General features: G+C 40.7%; 1 long non-coding RNA gene and 1 pseudogene across 5 annotated transcripts in view; both read left to right on the forward strand.

Annotated features, from left to right (window-relative positions):
* Positions 1-23914, forward strand: part of LOC105374455 (uncharacterized) — a 56893-nt gene extending 32979 nt beyond the window's left edge. The window contains exons 1-4 of one of the 5 annotated variants that reach the window (XR_939944.3): positions 4-190; positions 288-354; positions 19990-20067; positions 23437-23914. This is a non-coding gene — a long non-coding RNA (uncharacterized LOC105374455). Of the gene's footprint in view, positions 1-3; positions 355-15893; positions 18446-19989; positions 20068-23436 lie in introns of those variants that run through there. The other 4 variants (XR_939941.3, XR_001739394.2, XR_939945.3 and 1 more) reach the window with 4 other exon arrangements.
* HNRNPA1P61 (heterogeneous nuclear ribonucleoprotein A1 pseudogene 61) lies at positions 4119-5332 on the forward strand (annotated as a pseudogene).
* Positions 23915-24289: the final 375 nt, after the last annotated feature.

The following is a 24289-nucleotide window of genomic DNA, read 5'->3' on the forward strand; positions in this document are numbered from 1 at the left end:
AGCTAGTCCTTTCTTTGTCCTTGTATAAAATTTAATGCCATTCCCCTAGCTTTTCTCATCATTTTCAGATAACCAAAGATGCTTTCCAGTTCCATGTCATAGTCAAATATTTCATCTTGGTTTTAAGTGAAATCATCTTCGTTTCTCCAGCTTATGCTGCTGCAGATGGAAAGTCTGAAGTCACAGAAAAGTATATTCTCCTTCTTTTCTTCTTGTTACCTGGATCTTTATTTTATTTTATCTCCCACGTTATTCTAATTGCATTTTCTGATCTCTCTCCCCTCCAGGGCAGGAATCCTTTGAAGGGATAAAAGAAGTAATCAGAGACCTGTCCATGGTGACAATAGGGTCAAGGTGTGTGGTTTCTTGTAGGTAGTATTTTCTTATATGATTTTATGAGAAAACAGGCATTATGTTTTTTTTAAATTAAGTAGTCTATATATATTTTAATCTCATTAATAGATATGAAATGTTAGTATTTAACAAATCATAATACATCAATTCAATTATGTTGAAGCATCAGCTCTTCTGAGAACCCTTCCATAATATCTCCACAACCCCTTCACTCTCTAACAGGGTTAACCTCATCCCCATCCTCCACCACAGCTGGTGCCTGCTTCTATTTGACTCATAACAGACTGCATTGGAATCATCTGTTTGCTTGTCTGTTTCTCTACCACTCAATAAGCTCCTGAGGGGCCTCATTATCTCTCCAATGCCTGGATTATAGTGTTGTTAAATAAATTTCCACAGAATTGAACAGACACAGTTCAGAGGCCAAAAGATCAAAGATTCAGCAAAAGAAGGCCCCGAAGTGCGTGCTGATTCCAGAAGAGAGGCTGCTTGTCTGTTTGGGAAGAAAAACCTCCCAACTCTTGCTTATGATCTCTGGTCCTATCTCTTTTTCTCCTGCTTCAGTGAGTAGGGGGTTTGGCAATTTAAAACATTTTTATTTTTATTGTTTTGAATCGGGCAGCCTCCAGAATCACAGCAGATTCAAAGAGATTCCCTCGGGGTGGCAATTTTACCTACTCTCAGCTCAGGGCTGCCTCTGCTCAGCAGACATTAGACAACAGTGCTGAGAATATTTTCCTCCTAATAAGAAAATTCCAATCACAATGATCATGCTCAGATACCTAAAGAGCTGCTGGAATCTGAGCTCTGAATACCTGGGGAATTACTATACTGTGAAAAAAGGCAGTCTGAAGAAAGAAAGGACAATAAGGTAGGCTTGTTTGTAAATATGTGGTTCACCTTTCTGAGAGGCATCTTTAAGCTATAAAAGTGTATGGAATGTTTTATGGATTTTGTCTTCCTTCATAGCTCTATAAAATTTCAGTTTTATTGGTGCGAGCCCTCTGTGTGAAGTAAATGATAGATAAGCAGATGATCATTTTATTTCATGGTTGAGACAAGATGTGCTGGGCTTTATTGCACCTAATCTCCCAGTGAAAGAAGAGTTTTAAAGTGCATAGTAGTTAATTCTCTTTGGCAGACATGAGCTATAAACATGTTTTCATCTGCTTTCTGTTCTTATTAAATTAGAAATTTTCAGTGATTATAGGTTTTTACTTCTCTTGTGGGGAATTTGGAAATAATTTTAAAAATCGATCTTTCCTATTATTTAGATGCCTGGAGTGACTTGGAATAAAGTATTAATTAGTTTCAGCATATTATTATTATTGGTGTAAATGGCGTTTTGGCTCAGAATCCCAAGATTAGTCATCCTTACCATAGCCAAAACAGTGATTCCTGATCACCCCAACCAGAAAGAGTTCTTCTGTCTTTGTGCTACTCAGTCATTTCTTGTCAGCACTTCATAAACCAAGTTCCTTTTATTTGGGCACCTTGTGTAATAACATGGCCTATTCCCAGGCCCTTCATTCCTTTTATCCCTACAGATGGGACTGCCTAACTAGTATAGGACAGAAAAATTGATCTTTTTCATACCATGTCTGATAAATAGTTTTTGGCTTTGTGGAGCATTGAACCTATATAAGATGATAAGGTGACATGTAGACTCAATATTAAACAGATCTTTCACCATCTACAGTTGGTTAGAGACTCCCTCCCCAGGTTCAGGAGCAGGAACACAGAGGATGTGCATTTGTGGACCCTGGCTGCACTCTGTCTTCATAGGTCCTGGTGTGAGAATCATGCAGTTTTCTATTAGGCAGTTTATGGAATGGTGTTCATAGCTATGGTCCTGTCTTAGTCCATTTGTGCTTCTAGAACAAAATGCCTGAGACTGGGTAATTTACAAAGAACAGAAATTTATTTTCTCACAGTCCTGGAGGCTGGGAAGTCTAAGATCAAGGCACTAGCAGGTTTGGTGTCTGGTGAGGGCTCATTCCTCATAGATGACCCTGCCTAGGTGTCCTTACCTGGTGAAAGAATGGACGACAGCAAATCCACTTCCTCAAGTTTTTTAAAATAAGGGCCGTAATACGATCCATGAGGGCTCTGCTGTCATGCCTTAATCACCCCCTAGAGGCCCCACCTCTTTTCTTTTTTCTTTTCTTTTTTTTTTTTTTAGATGGAGTCTTGCTCTGTTACCCAGGCTGGAGTGCAGTGGCACCCTATCGGCTCACTGCAACTTCTGCCTCCCGAGTTCAAGTGATTCTTCTGCCTCAGTGCCCCGAGTAGCTGGAATTACAGGCACCCACACCACCCCTGGCTAATTTTTGTATTTTTAGTGGAGACGGGGTTTTGCCATGTTGGCCAGGCTGGTCTTGAATTCCTGACCTCAAATGATCCGCCCACCTCATCCTCCCAAAGTGTTGGGATTACAGGCATGAGCCACCATGCCCAGCCAGCCCCACCTCTTTTGGCAATGAAGTTTCAACATGAATTTTTGGGGACACATTCAGACCATAGTGGGTCCCAATAGAGGGAGAGAATTTGTGATTACAGTCAAAGCCCAAATTATTAGATTACATAGGTGTTGTGGGGAGGGCAGTTGGAGATCACTCTTGAAGTCATGAATTTTAGGTCAGGTATGATTCCATAAGAGCACCATGAGTCCAAAGGTTGCCCAGTAGGAGGAGAAAGTCAATTAGGAAAGGGCCTCAATTCTACTAGTAGGCAGCCTCATGTCTCCCTTTTCAATTTCTCTAAGCTATTTCCAATTTCCCAGTCAAATATATTCAGTGAAAGTAAGAGAACATACAGGTATGCCAGGAAAGCTTACATGAAAAATGCTTTCAAGGAAAAGAGCCTCACACATAATGGGATGTCTTATGGCAAGACCTTTCACTTTATCCCAAGCCACTCCAAGAAGTGGTCAGTCCAGTGTCCACAGGTTATTGAAAGATCTGGGCCCTGTCTTGCATACCTGTGCTGCCTAAAGGAGAGAAAGAGAGGGAGAATGTGGAAATTTGGTTACTAGATGGGTAAAAGGAGGTGCCTTGGAAGAACAGGAGGGTTGTTTTAAAGCTATTATCTGAACTTGTGAGTTTTTAAATTTTTCATTTTGATATCTTAGGGAAACTGGCCGTTTGTTGAAAATCTGTCTGACGGAAATCCAAAGAAGGTTTGACCTATCTCTTCTAGTTTCATACAATTCTGCTTGCAGACAGACAAACCTAGTTGACTTGACTTGCTAGCTCAATAATCTCATCTTTTTTCATTTTATAACTCAGCAAATAGCTTATAGTTTTTCACTCTCTCCTTAGCCTTTATGCTTCTGTTCATGTTGTCTCCTTGTCTAGAATGCCCCTCTCTAGCCCTGCCTGCTCCTCAAGCCACTCCTTCCTATGTTCACTTAACCTGGCATATCTCTACTAGCATGTTAAAATTTAGCTCAAGGATTGCCTTATCTAGGGCACCTTCCTTGTTTCACACCATGGCAGACCTCAGCTGCCTCCCCATATCCTCTCTTCTTTCCACTTAACAACACTCTGCTATTTTTAGTGGTGCCATGCATCGGAGGTGGCAGGGGCCTCTTCCTGGACCTAGGGGTTGAATCTTGACTGATTTAAGCCAATTGTAATAATTCTGTTTCCCTTGCCAGTGACTGTGTTAGAAATAATCATGTGATGTAATTCTAATTACTAACACAAGGGAAATCTGCTGGGAGGTTCTGGGAAAGTGTTTCTTACCTTAAAAAGGAACCTTAGCTTTCTGCCTGTGGACACCACCGAGGAAGCATCATTAAAGTCTCTCTTCCCACTGCTCTCATGTCAAACTCAGAGTCTCCAAAAGAGCCCGAACAGCTGCAGAAGCTCTTTATTGGAGAGCTGAGCTTTGAAACAACTGATGAGAGCCTGAGGAGCCATTCTGAGCAATGGGGAATGCTCATGGACTGTGTGGTCATGAGAGATCCGAACACCAAGTGCTCCAGGGGCTTTGGGTTTGTCACATATGCCACTGTGGAGGAGGTGGATGCAGCCATGAATGCAAGGCCACACAAGGTGGATGGAAGAGTTGTGGAACCAAAGAGCTGTCTCAAGAGAAGATTCTCAAAGACCAGGTGCCCACTTAACTGTGAAAAAGATATATGCTGACAGCATTAAAGAAGACACTGAAGAAATCACCTAAGAAATTATTTTGAGTAGTATGGAAAAATTGAAGTGATTGAAATCATGACTGACCGAGGCAGTGGCAAGAAAAGGGCCTTTGCCTTTGCAACCTTTGACAACCATGAGTCCGTAGATAAGATTGGCATTCAAAAACACCATACTATGAATGGCCACAGCTGTAAAGTTAGGAAAGCCCTGTCAAAGCAAGAGATGGCTAGTGCTTCACCAGCCAAAGAGGTCAAAGTCGTTTTGGAAACTTTTGTGGTGGTTGTGGAGGTGGTTTTGGTGGGAATGACAAATTTGGTCATGTAGGAAACTTCAGTGGTTGTGGTGGCTTTAGTGGCAGCCGTGGTGGTGTTGAATATGGCAGCAGTGGGGATGGCTATAATGGATTTGGTAATGATGGAAGCAATTTTGGAGGTGGTAAAAGCTACAGTGATTTGGCAATTATAACAATCAGTCTTCAAATTTTGGACCCTTGAAGGGAGGAAACTTTGCAAGCAGAAGTTCTGGCCCCTATGGTGGTGGAGGCCAATAATGTGCCAAACCACAAAACCAAGGTGGATATGGCCATTCTAGTAATGTAGTAGCTATGGCAGTGTCAGAAAATTTTAATTACTGCCAGGAAACAAAGCTTAGCAGGAGAGGAGAGCTAGAGAAGTGACAGGGAAGCTACGGGTTACAACAGATTGTGACCTCAGCCAAATGCAGTGGTGGCAGGACCTAGCTGCTACAAAGAAGACATGTTTTAGACAAATACTCATGTGTATGGGCAAAAAACTTGAGGACTGTATTTGTGACTAATTGTATAACAGGTTATTTTAGTTTCTGTTCTGTGGAAAGTGTAAAGCATTCCAACAAAGGGTTTTAATGTAGATTTTTTAAAATTTGCATCCATGCTGTTGATTGCTAAATGTAACAGTCTGATCATGGCACTGAATAAATGTGTCTTTTTTTTCTTTTTGAGAGAGCCTAAGAAAAATATCTCTTTTCTAGTTTGTGGATGTTATTGGTGAGGAGGTGACATGTAGAGCTATGGCAGTCCTCTTGTGATCATGAGGGGACATGCCTAAGAGAAAGGCCAAAGGGCTGAAATGGAAGAACAGAAAGATGGAAATAATTGGAACTTTGAAACTAACATTGAGTTACTGAGTTAATTGCCCTGGAAATGTCATTCCTCAAGACTACTTGGTATGTAAGACAATAAATCAATTGAATAATTGAATCAATAATTCAATTATTGTTGAAGCCAGCTAAAATTAGGTTTTCTATTATTTGCAGCTGAAATCATTCTTACTGGTACCAAACCAATCCATATCTTTCATCTATGCTTCTTTTAGAACTCTGTGAATTTTTCGTCTTTTTTTTTTTTTTTTTTTGTTACAGGATCTTGCTCTGTCACTGAGTGAAATGGGTCAGGTGTAACATATGTTTTATCATGCCATTTCAATGGTCTGTGTGTCATTAATGTCTAGTACATACCAGTTACATAAGTACAGGTACATTAATGGATCTGATAAAACCTTATTTGTAGATTGGGGATATAAAACTTATAGACTCATTATAATGACCAAATGGTGGTTCACAGCTTGGACATTAGAGTAAATCACCTTAGATTCTCATCCAGGCTCTGCCTCTTATTATCTGTAATTTCTTTTTTTTTCTGAGACGGAGTCTCACTTTGTCTCCCAGGCCTGGAGTGCAGAGACATGATCTCAGTTCACTGCAATCTCTGTCTCCCAGGTTCAAGTGATTCTCCTGCCTCAGCCTCCCAAGTAGCTGGGATTACAGGTGCCTGCCACTGCACTCAGCTAAGTTTTGTATTTTTAGTAGAGATGCAGTTTCACCATGTTGGCCAGGTGGGTCTTGAACTCCTGACCTCAGGTGATCCTCCCACCTTGGCCTCCCAAAGTGCTGGGATTACAGGCGTGAACCATCTCACCTGGCCTATTATCTGTAATATCAAACCTTATTTAAGGTTACTTAGCTTTAGTTTCTTCATCTGCAAAAGGAGGAAAAAAGTTGTTTATCTCTCCATGGTGGTGTGGGGATTAAATGAGAAAATCTAAGCCCATTTTTGAGTACAGTGCTTGGTACGTAATCACTGAAAGAGTGGCAGCCATTTCTTAAGAGATATTAATTCCTGAACAAATAGTGCAGTACCTTTAACCATGCCCGCCCAGGCCCCTGCTACAGTGAGTGCTGGCTGCTTAGTGCTCATTGCTACCCCCTTTCTCCAGAACATGGGCTTGGCAGAGCATTGCCTTGGCCCACTTAGCCCCTACTTCCTCCTACAGACAGCACACAGACTGACCAACCCTTCATGCAAAAGACTGGGCCCTGGCCTCAAGGCAGAATGGGATTTGTGCTTCAGAGCACAATCTCAGCTCACTGCAACCTCCACCTCCTGGGTTCCAGTGATTCTCATCCCTCAGCCTCCAGAGTAGCTGGGATTACAGGTGCCTATCACAACACACGGCTAATTTTTGTATTTTTAGTACAGATGGGGTTTCACCATGTTCGTCAGGCTGGTCTAGAACTCCTGACCTCAAGTGATCCGCCCACCTTGGCCTCCCAAAGTGCTGGGATTACAGGCGTGAGCCACTGAGCCCGGCCACAACAACTTGTGTCTTTTAAAGAATTTTTTCATAATCCCAGTGCTTGGGAAGCTGAGGCAGGAGGATTGCTTGAGGCCAGGAGTTTGAGACCAGCCTGGGTGGCATAGTGAGACCCTGTCTCTACAAAAAAAATATATATATAAAAGAAAATTTTATTTCTTCTATGTTATCTAATTTGTTGGCATACTGTTTTTTATGGTAGTCACCTATAACTCTTACGATTTCTATAAGGTGATCGTTATGTTCCCTCTTTTATTATTGATTTTAAAATTTTAAGTGTTTCCTCTCTCTTAATTTTTTGTCAGTGCAGCTAAAATTCCATTTTCTTTATCTTTTCAAATAACTAATTTTTGGCTTCTTTGATTTTCTCTGTTGTTTTCTATTTTTTTTTTTTTGCCTTCACCTTTAGTATTTTCTTTCTTCTGTTTGCTCCCAATTTAATTTGTTCTTCTTCTTCCAAGTGTTTTTTTAAATTTTAGTTATTTATTTTTTTTGAGATGGAGTCTCGCTCTGTTGCCCAGGCTGGAGTGCAGTGGTGCAATCTCGGCTCACTGCAACCTCTGCCTCCCAGGTTCAAGCTATTCTCCTGCCTCAGCCTCCCAAGTAGCTGGGACTACAGGCATGTGCCACTATGCCTGGCTAATTTTTGTATTTTTAGTAGAGGCGGGGTTTCACCATATTGACCAGGCTGGTTTCGAACTCCTGACCTCAAGTGATCCTCTTGTCTTGGCCTCCCAAAGTGCTGGGATTACAGGCGGGAGCCACCATGCCCGACCTTCTTCCAGTGTCTTAAGCTGCAAGTTTAGATTATTATTCTTCTCTGTTAATATAGATGTCTACAGCTTAAAATTTCCCTTTGAGTATTGTGTTGGGGCTCAAAAACTGAAGCCCCAAAATGTGGTGCTTTGACATGCTGAAATGAAGAAGAAGCCTTATGGTCTCTCTGACCTCCCCCTACCACCTACTCTCACAAAGCCTTGAGGAAGTTGTTCTCCAAAGCTCCTTTATCTGCCCCAAATCCTGACCAACAACAACAAAAACAATGGTTTTGGCTGGGTGTGGTGGCTCACAACTGTAATCCCAACACTTTGGGAGACTAAGGTGAGAGGATTGTTAGAGCCCAGGAGTTCAAGACCAGCCCAAGCAACATAGTGAGACCCTGTCTCTACAAAAAAAGTTTAAAAATTAGTCAAGTGTGGTGGTGCACACCTGTGGTCTCAGCTACTTGGGAGGCTGAGGAGGGAGGATCACTTGAGTTCAGGGGGCTAAGGCTGCAGTTAGCCATGTTCATGTGACTGCAATGTAGCCTGGGAGACAGAGTGAGACCCCATATCAAACAAACAAACAAACAAATGAAAAGCCAGTTTTTTCTTCTCCCTGTAAGACCAAGCACGAAGCAAGATCTGAACTGACCCTTTCACAAGATAATGTCTTTCTCCCAGGGTCATTCAAATCCAAAGAGAATTATGTACCAGTTAATCTCTGTTCCTCTTTATTGCCCCTCAACAGAATTCTTTTTCTCCTCTCTCCCATAATCTGTTTTGCCAGGATCCAAGCCCCATTCTTTGTGTAACCTCAAAATGGTATATAAGCTTCTGAACTCTGTTGGTGGATGGGTGATCACTCTGTGGTTCTTTCTGTAAACATGTTAATACATTTGTATGCCTTTTCTCTAATTAATCTGCCTTTTGTGAGTAGTTGACTTTTCAGCAAAACTTCAGAGGGTGAAAGGGAAGTTTTTCCCTTGGTTCCTACAATTGATTTAGCTGCATTGCATTAGTTTTGGTGCATTATGTCTTTTTATTCATTCATTTTATTATCTAATTTTGCTTGTGGCTTCTTCTTTGTCTCATTGATTATTTAGTAGTATGTTGTGTAATTTTCACATATTTATAAATTTACCAATTTTTTTTTCTGTTACTAACTTCTAATTTCGTTCCATTGTGATCTGATAACATATATGATTCCAGTCCTATTCAATTTATTGGAATGTGTTTTATAGCCTAACATATGGTCTCCTCTGGAGAATGTTCTGTGTTTCAGGAGAATGTGTATTCTGCTGTTTTGGGGTGAAGTGTTGAATAGATGTCTCTCAGGTCTAGTTGGTTTACAGTGTTGTTCAAGTCTTCTGTTTTCTTGTTCGTGTTCTGCATAACTGTTCTATGTAGTGCTGAAGGTGCAGTATTTGTCTCCAATTGTCCGTGGTTGAGCAAAACACACTCTGTTTCTCTACACTTTCAGCCAACACTTTGGATACCAGATGCGTGAATTTTTTTTTCTGCACCAAGCACTTCTCCAACTCTCTGAACATCAATTGGGTGTCTTACAATTTAATTTAATTCTGACCCTATATACTTGGAGTTAGCATCAGATTCCACAACTTGAGGGCTTACTAGCTATGAATTAAGGGCTCCCATGACCCACTTCTGTGTTTGACAGAATAGCTTAGGGAAATGCTTTACATTTACTGAACTCAGAGAAATGCTTTGCTAACATTGACTGGTTTATTATAAAGGATACAACTCAGGACCAATCAGATGGAAGAGATGCAAGGTGTAGGGGAGAGGAACACTGAGTTTCCATGTTCTCTGGACAGGCCACCCCCAGCACCTCCCTGTGAAACTCATCAAATCTCCTTGTTCAAGAGTTGTTTTTTTGTTGTTTTGTTGTTGTTGTTGTTGTTGTTGTTGTTGTTTTGAGACAGAGTCTCGCTCTGTTGCCCAGGCTGGAGTGCAGTGGAGAAATCTTGGCTCACTGCACCCTGTCTCCGGGGCTCAAGCAATCCTCTCACCTCAGCCTCCTGAGTAGCTGGGACTACAGGCGTGCACTGCCATGCCTGGCTAATTTTTTTGTATTTTTAGTAAAGACAGGGTTTCACCATGTTGGCTAGGCTGGTCTGGAACTCCTGGCCTCAAGTGATCTGCCCACCTCAGCCTTCCAAAATGCGGGGATTACAGGTGTGAGCCACCACACCCGGCCATGTTCAAGAGTTTTTACATGCCCTTTTCATGATATATCCTTTTTATCTTTTTATTTTCAACCCATTTGTATCTTTCATTCAAAAGTTTGCATCTGTAGACAGCATATGATAGGATCTTATTTTTTTAATCCAGTGTGATAATTTCTGTCTTTTAGTTTAATTGTTTCATCATTTATATTTAATATTATTATTGATACAATTAAATTAATGTCTGTCATTTAACTTTTTGTTTTCTGTATGTTTCATGGCTGTTTTGTTCTTCTGCCCTTTGTTGCTTTCATTTGTACTAAGTGAATATTTTCTAGTGGAAAAACTTAATTCCTTTAATGATTTTTTTCACTACATTTATTTTCTCAGTGGTTGCTCTAGGGCTTACCATGCACATCATAACTTAATGGTATCTACAGTTGACCTTGAATGATGTGGGGTTTGGGGAGCCACCCCCACAATGCAGTTGAAAATCCATGTATAACTTTTGACTCCCCCCAGATTCAACTAAGAGCTTACTGTTGAACTGAAGCTTTATGGATAACATAAACAGTCAATTAACATATATTTTGTATGTTACATTTATTATATACTGTATTCTTAAAGTAAGCTAGGTGAAAGAAAATTTTATTAAGAAAATCATAAGGAAGAGAAAATGTATTTGCTATTCATTGAGTGGATCATCATAAAGGTCTTCATTCTTGTTGTCTTCAGGTTGGAAGTGGAGGAAGCAGAGGTGTAGGAAAATCCACATATAAGTTGACCTGTGCAGTTCAAACCTGTGTTGTTTGTTCAAGGGTCAATTGTACTTTAGATTTACACTAACTTAAGTCCAGTGAGATATTGAAACATTACTCCTATATATTTCTAGTCCTGCTTCTCTTATTTGTGGTATTATTGTTATACATATTCTAGTTATATGTTACAAGACCAAGAATACATTGTTATAATTATTACTTTGTATAATTTTATGTATTTTAAAGAAGCTGCTAGAATAAAGGACAGCAACAATATATTTATAGAGGGTGTTATATTACCTTTCTTACTTACAACATTTCTGGTCTCTTTCTTTGTTCCTGTTGATTCAAGTTACCATCTGGTATTATTTCCTTTTTTCCAATACAGCTTCTCTTCCATCCCCTCCTTTGTTCTGTTATTTTAAGACACTTTACATTGGCATATGTTGTAGGCCTGATTATGCAAAAAGATACATACTGTTTTGTACATTTGTTTTTCCAATAAGTTAAGAGATGAAAGGAGAAAAAATGCATTTTTGCTATCTTCTATAATTACATAATTACCTTTACTGGTGCTTTTTGTTTATTTCTGTGCATTCTAATTATTGTCTGAGATCACTTGCTTTCAGCCTGAAGAGCTTCCTTTAGTGTTTCTTGTAAAGAGAGTCTACTAGCAACAAGTTATTTCAGTTTTTGTTTTCTTCGGAATGTCTTTCTTTTGCCTTTATTTATTTTTATTTTATTTTATTTATTTATTTATTTTTTGAGATGGAGTTTCACTCTTGTTACCCAGGCTGGAGTGCAATGGCATGCAATCTTGGCTCACCGCAAGCTCCACATCCCGGGTTCAAGCGATTCTCCTGCCTCAGCCTCCCAGGTAGCTGGGAATACAGGCATGTGCCACCACACCCGGCTAATTTTTTTGTATTTTTAGTAGAGACAGGGTTTCTCCATGTTGGTCAGGCTGGTCTCAAACTCCTGACCTCAGGTGATCTGCCCGCCCCAGCCTCCCAAAGTGCTGGGATTACAGGTGTGAGCCACCATGCCTGGCCTCTTTTGCTTTTATTTTTAAAAGATGGTTTTGTGGGATATATGATCCTTATTAAAAGTTTTACTCTTTCAGCAATTTAAATGAATCACATGATTGTTTCTGGCCTCCATTGTTTCTGATGAGGAGTCAGCTGTTAATCTTATTAGGGTTCCCTTGTACTTTATAACAGGGCTCCTCAACCCCTGGGTAGCCAACCAATACCTGTCCATGGCCTGTTAAGAATCAGGCTGCACAGCAGGAAGTGAGTGACAGGTGAGTAAGCATGACCGCCTGAGCTCCACCTCCTGTCAGATCAGTGGTGACATTAGATTCTTATCGGAGCACCTGCCCTATTGTGCACCACACATGTGAGGGATCTAGGTTGCACACTCCTTATGAGAATCTAATGCCTGATGATTGGAGATGGAACAGTTTTATCCCAAAACCACCCCTGCCACTCCCATCCCCAACCCCCACTCCCAGTCTGTGGAAAAATTGTCTTCCATGAAACTGGTCTCTGGTGCTGAAAAGGTTGGAGAACACTGCTTTATAAGTAGTTTTTTCTTTCTGCTTTCAAGATGTACCCTTTATCTCTGGCTGTCAACATTTTACTATGAAGTATATCTCTTTGCATTTATTCTTTGCATTTATTGTTGGAGGTTTTGAACTTTTTGGATATGTAGATTTATGTTTTTTATCAATTTTGAGAAGTTTTCAGCCATTATTTCTTCACATATTTTTTCTGCTCCTTTTTCTTTCTCTTCTCCTCTGGCACTCTCGTTATGTGTATTTGTTGCTCTTAATAATGTCCTATATTTCTCTGAGGCTGTGTTCATTTTTCACCATTATTTAATCTCTTTCTCTTTTTTTTTGACTGCAACATCTCTATTAATCTATCTACACAGTCACTGTTTCTTCTGCTAGTTTGGATCTATTGTGGAGCTTTGTTGGTGAATTTTTTATTTCAGTTATTGCATTCTTCAACTCCAGATGTTCCATTTGGTCCTTTAAAAATAATTTATATCTCTTTATTGACATTTTTTATTTCATGAGACAGTGCCATCATACCTTCCATTACTGGTTGAAGCATAGTTTTCTTTAGTTCTTTGAACATATTTATAATGGCTCATATGAAGTCCTTATCTATATATCTGAATTTTGTCACAGGCATTTTTTTTGCTGTCTGCCTTTTTTTTCCTGTGTGTGAGTTACACGTGAAGGTTATTAGAATAAAAATGGAATGAATTCCTTGTGTTAAAAACAAAACAAAAGAAACAATCTGACAAATAGAGCTGAGGAGCGCCATGAAGGTACGGTTCTCATGCATAAATGCTTGATAAAAACTATTACAAAAGACTCTGCAAAACCGCAACCTTATACAAAGGTCATGATAATCTTAAACACAAAGTAATAATTCTTCAAGGACACCTACCCAGCAACTACCCGTCCAACCCCAGACTGGTGTCACCCTTATGCAGAGGAACTCCCATTTGTAAAACCATCAGATATTCTGAGACTTATTCAATACCATGAGAACAGTATGGGGGAAACTGCCCCCATGACTCAGTTATCTCACCTGGCCCTCTCCTTGACACTTGGGTATTATTACAATTCAAGGTGAAATTTGGGTGGTGATACAGCCAAACCATATCAGTGAGGGTTATTAGGCCTTCAGTGTTTTTGGCCTGCTATACCAGACTGGGGTAGACCCTCCACCCTTTGTGTGGAAACTGGGTGGAGGCAGGGAGCCCTCACTGTCTTGGCTATATTCACCTAGAATTTAGCCTCTGCCACAGGAAGCTTGAAGTTGGGGGATGAGCAATGCTAGCAACATGACTCTCCTGGCAAGATTTCATAGCTTCTGACTGGGAACTGGAGAGACAGGGAGCCCTGTGTTCTTAGCCTCGCCTACCCAGATTGAAACTTTCCTTAAGCTGAGCTCAGGGGGTGAGGGAGGGAGTGGGTCATGGGTTAAATGCCATAGATTCTTGCTGTTCTTACCAATATTTAGTATATTTCTTCATTTGCTGTATGCCCTTCCTTAGGGAAATTTGAAGAGACATTAAATTGTTGCATGCTTATAATGTTTGGTTTTTAGGGGGAGTAGTCCTGGCAAAATCCTCACTCCACTGGCATTCCAGAAGTCATCCTCTATTTTGACTTTTGCTGGAAACATTGAAGGGACTTCCTTAGAGTATTCTTGGTGCTATGTATGCTGTGGAAGAGATACGTTAGAGGCAGTTTACTTTTATGGAGGAGACAGAGAACTCTGAATCTGAGTTGCTTTGCCTCCCTCCAGACTTAGAAGTCAGTGGGCATATGGTGTGGATGAGTTCCCATTCAGCTACATACTATATAAATGAATGTGGTGGAAACAAGATTTATTCATAAAGAATGAGTTCTCCCACCCTTTTACTAACTAAAGGTAATTTTATATTCATTTACACAGATTCTCTCCTCTTTTTAGTGTCTAAGGAGAGTTCTGTCTCTACCAGTGTGATTCCAGGATTTTAAAATTATCTGGGGCTGGGTGTGATGGCACACACCTATAATCCCAGCACTTTGGGAAGCCAAGGTGGGAGGATCGCTTGAGCCCAGGAGTTTGAGACCAGCCTGAGCAACATAGTGAGACCCTGTGTCTAAAAAAAAAGTATCTGGAATTTGAAAAACTAGTGGATAGGTATAAGACAAGAAAGATTAGAGAAAAGGGAAAATAGTTAAGTTGGGAAACTAAGAGATGAGTGGGAAGAAGCGATGAAGATGTGTAGGGGGTTGCGTACCTAGCTAGCTGCTGGAGAGAGACAGTTTTCTTGGTGGGGAGGTGTGAAAAAATTGGGAAGAATAAAAAAAAAAGGATTTAAGAAATTTTGTTTTGAGTTATGAGTGGATTTTCTATCAGGTACCTTGAGAAATGCAAGGAAAGTTTGTTATACTGTCTGAGTTTCTTTCAGCTGATGAGCCATACTCTCTATGCAAATACACATAGAGACTGCTCTATGTATTGCTCTTGTTCTTATTATATCCTAAGAAATAAATTCTAAATATCCTCTCTTCCTGCTTCTTTTTTGGGTTTCTCCCAGAAGTACTGACTATAAAGGATGTTGATTGTTTTATCAGACTCAGGAAAAACGGAAGAGATTCAAACTCTGTCTTAAGCATCTCATTGACGTGTAATTCTTTTTCTCATTAAAAAGATATAAAACCTGGCCAGGCACAGTGGCTCATCATGCCTGTAATCTCAGCAATTTGGGAGGCCGAGGTGGGAGGATTGCTTGAGCCCAGGAGTTTGAGACCAGCCTGGGCAACATAGTGAGATCCCATCTCTACAAAAAATAACACAAATAAACTGGATATGGTGGTGCATGCCTGTAGTTCCAATTACTTGGGAGGCTGAGGTAGGAGGATTGCTTGAGTCCAGGAGTTCAAGGCTGCAGTGAGCTATGATCACACCACTGCACTCCAGCCTGGGTAACAGAGTGAGACCCTGTCTCAAAAAAAAAAAAAAAAAGATATAAAATATTTTACTCTATTTTTTTTCCTAGAAAACCATTTCTTCAACAGTTATATGTATTTTAATTTTAATTTGATTGACACATTCATTGTAGGTGTAGTTTCTATAATCCCTAAATGCTCAGGAGTTGTGGCAGGAGGTCACAAGATTTGTGACTTCCCCAATTGTTCTTATAGGTAACATCACTATTGTAGAACCTAAGATTGGTTTTTTTCTTTGTTTGTTTGTGTTTTTTTTGAGATGGAGTTTCACTCTTGTTGCCCAGGGTGGAGTGCAATGGCACGATCTTGGCTCACTGCAACCTCCGCCTGCCGGGTTCAAGTGATTCTCCTGCCTCAGCCTCCCGAGTAGCTGTAATTAGAGGCATGCACCACAACATCTGGCTAATTTTCTATTTTTAGTAGAGATGGGGTTTCTCCTTGTTGGTTAGGCTGGTTTCTCCATGTTGGTTAGGCTCCCGACCTCAGGTGATCCACCTGCCTCAGCCTCCCAAAGTGCTGGAATTACAAGTATGAGCCACCACGCCAGGCCTGATTGGTTTTTTTAAAGATGTTTTTCTGACTGACTCCACCCAGACTCAACTGTACTGTGGTCCCACCCAGAGGTGGACCCAGTGCATGAGGACCATTTTCCACACTCTTATTATTTCATCCCCAACCCATCAGAAGCATCCATTCCCTAGCCCCCTGCTCATAAAATTGCCATAAAAATCCTAACCTTCAAGCCTTTGGGGAGACTAGTTTGAGTAATAACTCCATCTGCCACATGGGTGGACTTGAATTAATTAAACTCTTTACTGCAATGCCTTGGTCTCAGTGAGCTGATTTTGTCTGTGCAGTGGACAGGAAGAACCCACTGGGTGATTAAAACTTTACAAGTTATAGGGCAATGGAAAGGATGGAAGATTGATCTGAATTGGAGGTGGGAAAGCTGACAGATGGAATGTAATATGCTGCTTAAAAAACTTGAATGAGAAGGAAGGAAAAGCTAGACCATCAGCTCTCGTACTGGCAATCAAGCCCTAAGTTAATGTCTTCACTTTTTTATTTTCTGTACTCAATACTTATCTGGCCTGATACATACTAACTCAACAAATACAGTTTAAAAAAAGGAAAGATAAGGGTCCAGGGAGTTGAGAGTACAAACAAGAGAGAAGTTTGGGCTCTGTGTGGTGACACACAGCTGTAATCCCAGCATCTTGGGAAGCTGAGGTGGGAAGATTGCTTGAGCCCAGGACCTCAAGACCAGCCTGAGCAACATAGGGAGACCCTGTCTCTACAAAAATAAGAAATTAGCTGGATGCAGTGCTTCGTGCCTGTAGTCCTAGCTATTTGGGAGGCTGAGGTGGTAGGATTGCTTGAGCCCAGAAGTTCGAGGCTATAGTGAACTATGATTGCACCACTGCACTCCAGCTGGGTAGCAGAGCGAGACCTTGTCTCTATTAAAAAAAAAAGAGAGAGAGAGAGAGAGAGAGAGAGAAGTTTGATGGAGTCTGTTCTGCTTTCCCTTGTCTCAGTTCCCTGGACTCAAATCCTTCCTTGATTCTACTATAGTTAAGACAACAATTGGCTAGCAAGCCTCTGGTTGTGGCTGGCCTTTTGTCTATGCCTGTAAGAGATGGTTTAAAAATCTTTCTGAGGTGCATATTGAGAGTACCATAAACATATCCTTCCAATATGTAAATATATCATTCTGAAGCCCAAGAGAAATGCTAAATGAAACAATTACTTCCTGGTACTTGTTTCCCTTCCTGCTCACCACAGAATAATCTCTTCAGACTCATTAAATCCCTCAGTCACTTCAACCATTAGTTCCACTGCCTTTGCATACCTGAACAAATGGTTTCCTGTTTAAATCATGTTCAATTAGTTTTGTCTTAAATGAGAGGTTCTCAGCTCTGACTACGTGTCACAATCACCTGGGGAGATTAAAAAATACTGATGCCAGGGTCCTACCCAAAATTAATTAAATTAGAGCCTCTCAGCATAATGCCTGGGCACTGGTATTATTTAAATTCCCCTGGAGATTCTAATGTGTGATTAAAATTGAGGACCAATTTCCTAAACCCTTGCATGGACATGGTTCTTAATTATGCCTCCAAATAATGACTCTATCCTTACCCAGGAGAAACTGGCCATTGACCTTCATCCCATCCTTTGGGAATGGAAATACAGCATCACGTATTCTGAATTTGAGGACATTCCATTCCCATATACCACGGAATTGCCCCATTTTGTGCTCCCAATGCCAATTAAGTAGACTGAGCTGGCTACACACAGTCATGCCAGGCAGGAGCTCATTTTAGTGGGGAAGATGAACGTGTCTGTGCTATTAAGAACAGAAGCAACACCATCTGAATGCAATTGAAAATTTGATCTCAAGTTGGTAGACTGCTTAGAAGAAGCTGAGTTCCTAGGACAAAGTATTCCTGCCTGAATAAATCTATGGTAACCTCTTTGGCTTCAAGGAATCCTGCTGTCTTCTGCACATTCTTGTACTATTCCACCTCTATTCTAAGGTGATGCTGTGAAAACTTTAATTTTTTTTTTCAGAACAATCTTTCAAATGCAATTCCATGCAGAAGCTGGATATAGAGGTGGATAAAAGTGTAGTTGCTCTAGCTGAAGCAGAGATGTGGGAGGTTTCCACTCCCAGCTCTTACCTCCTCCTCAACTACCTGGAGGTGCTTCTGCTGAGTTCTCCAGTTTTCAGGAACACAGATTGAAAATCACCACTTTAGGATGACAGCAGCAATATCAAAAGCCAACAGGCAAACGATAACACTAGAACAGAATTTTGAGTTGTTTTGCTCCATAGAATGAAAAAGACACTCTTATTGAGTAGTCAAGGATACAGAAGTCAACACTCTCAGGAAGAATTCGAAGAAATGTGGAGGAAGCATTAAAGGAAAGGAAACAAGAGCAAGAAAAATGGAGAGTAACCAGGATAATGAGATTAAAAAAATTACACTGTGGGAGATATGGTTGAAAGAAATGACAATGTTTAACCTAGAGAGAAGGAATGTGATAACTTTCTTCAAATATTTTTAGTACTGTCACATGTAAGTAGGAGTGAAGTAGTTCTGTGTGGTTGCAGGAAATAGAACATGCACCATTGAGTGGGTGGCAGTTTTAGGGAAAAAGCTTTCGGCTCAAAATCTAAGTAAGTTTCTAATATTATAATGGGCCACCTAAAGAGGTAGTAAAGTCCCTGTCCTTGGAGATATTGAGTCATTGACTAGATGACAAAGTCACTTATTTACTCCCTCTTTTGATTTCTCCCTTTCTCATGTTAAAGAAGAAAAATAAATAACTGATAGACACTAGGATTAATACCTGGGTGATGAAATAATCTGTATAACAAACTCCCATGACACGCGTTTACCTATGTAACAAACCTGTGCATCCTGTACCTGTACCCCGAACTGAAAAGTTTAAAAAATTATTCATGACACTTGTTAAAACATGGTGAAGTAGACTTTGTACAGGACCATCAAGATAGGTACAGGGACCATTTCAATCACGTTTTGCAGAATGGTAGAGAGACCGGGCTCACCTTTGAATATAGAAAGGAAAAGTGGGAATTTGGAGTGAAGGAGCAGGGTGGAGTCCATTGGATGGAAAATTACTAAGAGGAAACATCAAGAGGAAGAAGGTTTATGGCTAAATCAACCTAACAGGATTCTTGCTGAAGACAGGCCAGGATGATCAGACATCACATGGTGGTTGGTAGAGGTTGAGAAACTTGATAGATATTGAGGATGATCAGATATCATGAATGGGGGATTCTGGCTAAAATGACTTAGCAGGAATTTTACTAGAACTGGACTCCACAAAGAAGTCCAAAGGAACCCAAAATTGGACCTAGTGAAAAAGATTGCTCAGAAGAGCTCGACTATGGTTTGGTCAAGGAGACAATCTTTGCTACTCACATGCTTGATCTCAATACTTACATTAATTTAAGGAAAATTATAGCTTTCATCCAAAAAATTAAAATTTGAGTACCTACTGTATGCCACATGAGTGGTTCCTAACTGCGGTGTTGACAGAGAGATATATCACAATTAGCTGTGAAGTATGTCGCAAGAAATTGATTTCTAGAAATAAACTATTAAAGCTTACAAATGATTTGCTTTAACATTAATGATAATTTAGAGTGTATTCAGTGTTGTACCTGTACCACAGTTACTTTCATTCTTCTGTATTCTGTGATTCATATTTGAGTGCGAGAAAGGTGCAGGTTATTAGCTAAAGCATTTCAAGTTAATTATAATCTATGTTATATCAAATTTCAATTATGGCCTGGAATAATTTGACTGATGATGATCTATCATGGAGAAGTGTGGCAAGAAACATGATCACCTCTATGTGTATTGCCTCTGGTACTATTTGTTTCACTTTCCTGCAAATATTTTGGTGTTTCTTCAAATTCTTAAAAGCCCCATGGGGATGTGTCCATCTGTCATAGGAGACACTTGGACAAGAACTGTAGGGTCCCTGCCTTTACCAGACTAGAAGGTGTAGCAAAATTGACAGAGCTTTGGTACTGGACACAACTCAATGTGATGGTAGTGCTGCCATTTTCTAACTCTGTCTCCTCTGGCAGGTCACTTAACCTTCCTAGGCATCAGTTTCCTCAGCTGTGAAAAGGGAATATTAACTTCATTACAAGGTTATCAGGAGGGTAAGAGACAATAAACATACATTGTTAAGTGCATTTGTTTAAAAAATGTATATACTGAATATGATAGCTGTTGTCCTTATTAATAACATCTGAACAGAACGAGAGGTAACATCCTATTCAACTGAGTTCAGATTCCTTCTGATAATATCAGAGCATACTCACAGTTCTGGGGGAAAAGTAATTCCGTAGAAAATGACTATTTTTGAGCTATTTTGTGAGGAAATATTATCTTCTGAGCTACTTAGTTTATTTTGTTTGTTTATTTTCTTCTTGTGAGACTTTACTATTTCAAAGCAAAACCTAAATTTGAATACTAGATGCAGCTACCAAGAAGTTATCAGCAAAACACAGAGCTACAGATAATATTCTTTTGAGTTTTTTCTTACACATCATTTTCAATGCTGAGCAGTGGCTGGCAATCCGGGGCCTAGTTGGTGAGACTTGCAGATTATTAAAGGGCTTTGAAAGGATTTGACTATTTTTACATGGATGAATTTTATGTATTTCTATAAAATGTAACTGACGTGAGCAGGCTTCACTGGACTGTGAATACCAGGTGGGAAATTTGTTAATGTCCATGTTATTACAGCTCTGAACTTCACCCAATCCCTTTGTAGCCCAGCAACAGGGCTGGCACAGAAGTGAGGCAAAGGAGGTGCTTAGGGTGCCAAGAATGCCCTTTTACAAATGCAAAATTTCAATAGTTGGAAATTATAACCATATGTGTAGCTGCTACTTAGAGTAAGCTAATATTTTAATAGAGGAAGAAGTATTTTTGGAACTCTGATGAGAATTGAGAGTCACAGGCTGATCTGAGGATTTCAAAGCTGTTCCATGCTAAACAGTTTCAGAGCCCAGTGAGAAGATACCCTGCTGGGATCTGGTAATTACCTGTCTATCTATCTATCTATCTATCTATCTATCTATCTATCTATCTATCTATCTGTCTATCATCTATCTATCATCTATCTATCTATCTATCTATCATCTATCTATCTAATCTAATTTCTCTCTCTTTCTGTCTCCCCAATCAATCAATCAATATTTATTTATTCATTTTTGAGACAGGGTCTCACTCTATTTCCCAGGCTGGAGTGCAGTGTTGTGATCGTAGCTCACTGCAACTTTGAACCTCTGGGCTCAAGCAATCCTCTTTCCTCAGCTTCCCTAGTAGCTGGGACTACAGGTGCATGCCACCATGCCAGGCTAATTTTTTGATTTTTTTTTCTGTAGAAATGGGAGTCTTGCTATGTTGCTCAGGCTTATCTTGAACTCCTAGGCTCAAGTGATCCTCTTGCCTTGGCATCCTAAAGTGCTGGGCTTACAGGTGTGAACTATCATGCCTGGCCCAATCATTATTTATCTATTTATCTGGCACTATCTTGTCTGTCAGTGTTACCTCATCAATTTAACCCATAAGTCAAGGTATTGATACATACAGGAGGCAGAAAAATGCCTAGGTAGATAAGGGCAGGTCCCCAATGAAACCCCACCTTCAAGTCAAATACAGTTTAGAGCCTGAAAGCCAAGCTACGAGTTAAATCCGTGAACTGGATTGAGAACCTGTTTTCCTGTTTGGTGCACTTTCCTCTGATTGATCTCCCCCCTTCACCTATTTTACTGATACCTACCCTTCCCTAACTGTTTTTTGACCCTGTTATGCCCATCTTTGAGCAAGGCCTTTGTTTTAACCTTTTCTCCATACTCACAAACCAATCAGCACACACTCCCTATTCTTTGCCTATAAAAACCCCGAACTCAGTCACACTGTGAAACTGCCCACTTCTGGGTAGTGGGGAGACTGCTGCCCACTTTCAGGCGAGAGGTCAGAGATGACCTGACCTTCCCATCCCCTCTCCGCTGAGAGCTGTTTCATTCCTCAATAAAATTCTCCACCCTCATCACCCTTCAATTGTCAGTGTGACCTCATTCTTCTTGGATGCAGGACAAAAATTTGGGATCCACTGAACATGGGTACTAAGTGCTTAGTTGTGATGGCCACGGGAGCTGTGGGCTGGAGTGCAAGCCAGACGTGACCCAGTAGGCTGAGTAGATGGGGCACCCTCTGCTGTGAGCCTGGCAAAAAGGCTGAGAAAAATCCTGCATTGTATCTGGGGGCTTGTCTGGGATTTGTTGGAAGGGTGACTGAATGTGGACCCTGCTACCTCCACCAACCTGTCATCCCGGGTGTTGGGAATGGTGGCTTTGTTTCCTTTCACGGAGGTCTAACCGTTGCGTAGGAATGGAAGGAAGTCCTGGGGCAACTGAGGGCATCTGGTTGAGGCTACACCTCAATGTTATCCAAAGGCCCCTGGATTGACTCCAGTCTCTGACCACCCGATAGGTTGTTGGCCAAGACCTCCAGTCTTTCCTATGGTATATTCTTTCTTTCTTTCATGGTGATGATGGCTCCTACCTCTCTTTTATAATGTTAAGTGTGTTGTTGCAAACTACAGAAATATTACTGGGTAGACTGGGCACTTGGCCCAGTCATCAAAAATGTAATTCAGAACAATGGAGTTTCTGTCCATTCTTAGAAATGGGGAAAAGGCAGCAGTTAAGAGCTTTTTCCCTGTTGAAGGATCCCATTTGCAGAAGAGCAAGAGGCTTACTCCCCCAGGCACCTTCTCCTCCCTGCGCTTAAGCTGTTTTGTTTCTTTTCTCCACCATGTTAGGAGTTAACATAGACCTGTAAATACGGGGAGCTTTTCTATGCAAGAGATTTTTTTTTTCCTTTTAGAAGGCGTCTTATTAGGCTAGGTCCCCTTTCTCTCCATTGTTTGAGGACAACCTGGTTCCACAGCTTCACCTTAGCACTCTGCTTATAATAAGGAAGCAACAGAGGAGTGCTCCCACTGGCTGCTGGCTGCAAGTTTGGAGAGGGCCACCTGGGACTTAATTTTATGAGTCCATGCATCCTCCTGAGGCATCTTTTTGTCCCAAACTCAATTCCAAGCTTTAGGTTGAAGCCTTAGAAAGGAAAATTGGATCTGAGGGATCCAGAGGCAGGCAACAATGGAAGCTAAGGGGCACAGCATAGGTGAGCCTGACTAATTCCTGCCAATTAGGCACCCCTCATTTCATGGATGGAGGTCATGCCTGTATGCATGGCATAGATGAAGTTACTGACAGCAGGGATGATAGGCTAGTACGTAGGTGGGTGCAGATAATTCCTACCCTCTAGGCCTCCCTGTTACATGGATGAAAGCCACATTGGCACCCATGGGCAGCAACTGCCAAGGTTCCTGGGACTTGGGGATATAAGGACAGAAGAAAAAAGGGGATACCTTTTTTTCTCTCCCTCACATACCCTGGGTATTTGCTAGGAAGAGAGAAGAACTAAGGGGCGCCTTTTTCTCCTCTTTCCAGATGGGTAACCAACCATCTTCAGTCTGTATGTCTCTCCAATGCATCCTGAATCACTGGGATTCCTTTGAAAAGAGAAAATCAACCTTCTTCTTCCTGTTTCCTCCTCTGTCCTCTCTTCATGGATGAATAATCATGTCTCCATACCACAGGACATTTCCCTCTGTGAAAAGTTTAATTTCTGCATTAAACCACTTGGCTTAAAAAAAAATGAACTGGGAAGACATTATAACTCACATTCCCCTCTGTGAAAAGTTTAATTTCCATAAACCTTAAATCACTTGACTTAAAAAAAAAATGAACTGGGAAAACTCTAACTGAGCAATCTCTTGAGGAAGGACAATGTTTACAGTATGCAAATAACCTATTTGTCTGCTCCCCCTTTACGGAACTCCAGGGTCAAAGGGCTTCATAGCTCGGGGGAAGGGAACCCAGAAGCCTGACATGCTGGCAAACGAGTAAAAGTTTTTTACCCATCAGACTTCTGGCTTTTCTCTCTCTCTGTGCAAACTGTTTGAATGAATGATAAAAATCACTGTTTATATACTCTGAAACGTTGTGATTAATGGAAAAAGGATTTGTGAGGTGAGTCTTAAGCTATAGAGAATCTGTGATACTTTGTGTTAAGAATTTCTCTTTCTGTATCTTTCTATCAGAAAGAGGGGTACCTTAGGATAAAATGTGGGTCTAGGCCCAAATGTCCAACAATGATAGACTGGGTTAAGAAAATGTGGCACATATACACCATGGAATACTATGCAGCCATAAAAAATGATGAGTTCATGTCCTTTGTAGGGACATGGATGAAGCTGGAAATCATCATTCTCAGTAAACTATCGCAAGAACAAAAAACCAA

Source organism: Homo sapiens, chromosome 2 (genome assembly GCF_000001405.40).
Source record: "Homo sapiens chromosome 2, GRCh38.p14 Primary Assembly".
Taxonomy (NCBI): Eukaryota; Metazoa; Chordata; class Mammalia; order Primates; family Hominidae; genus Homo; species Homo sapiens.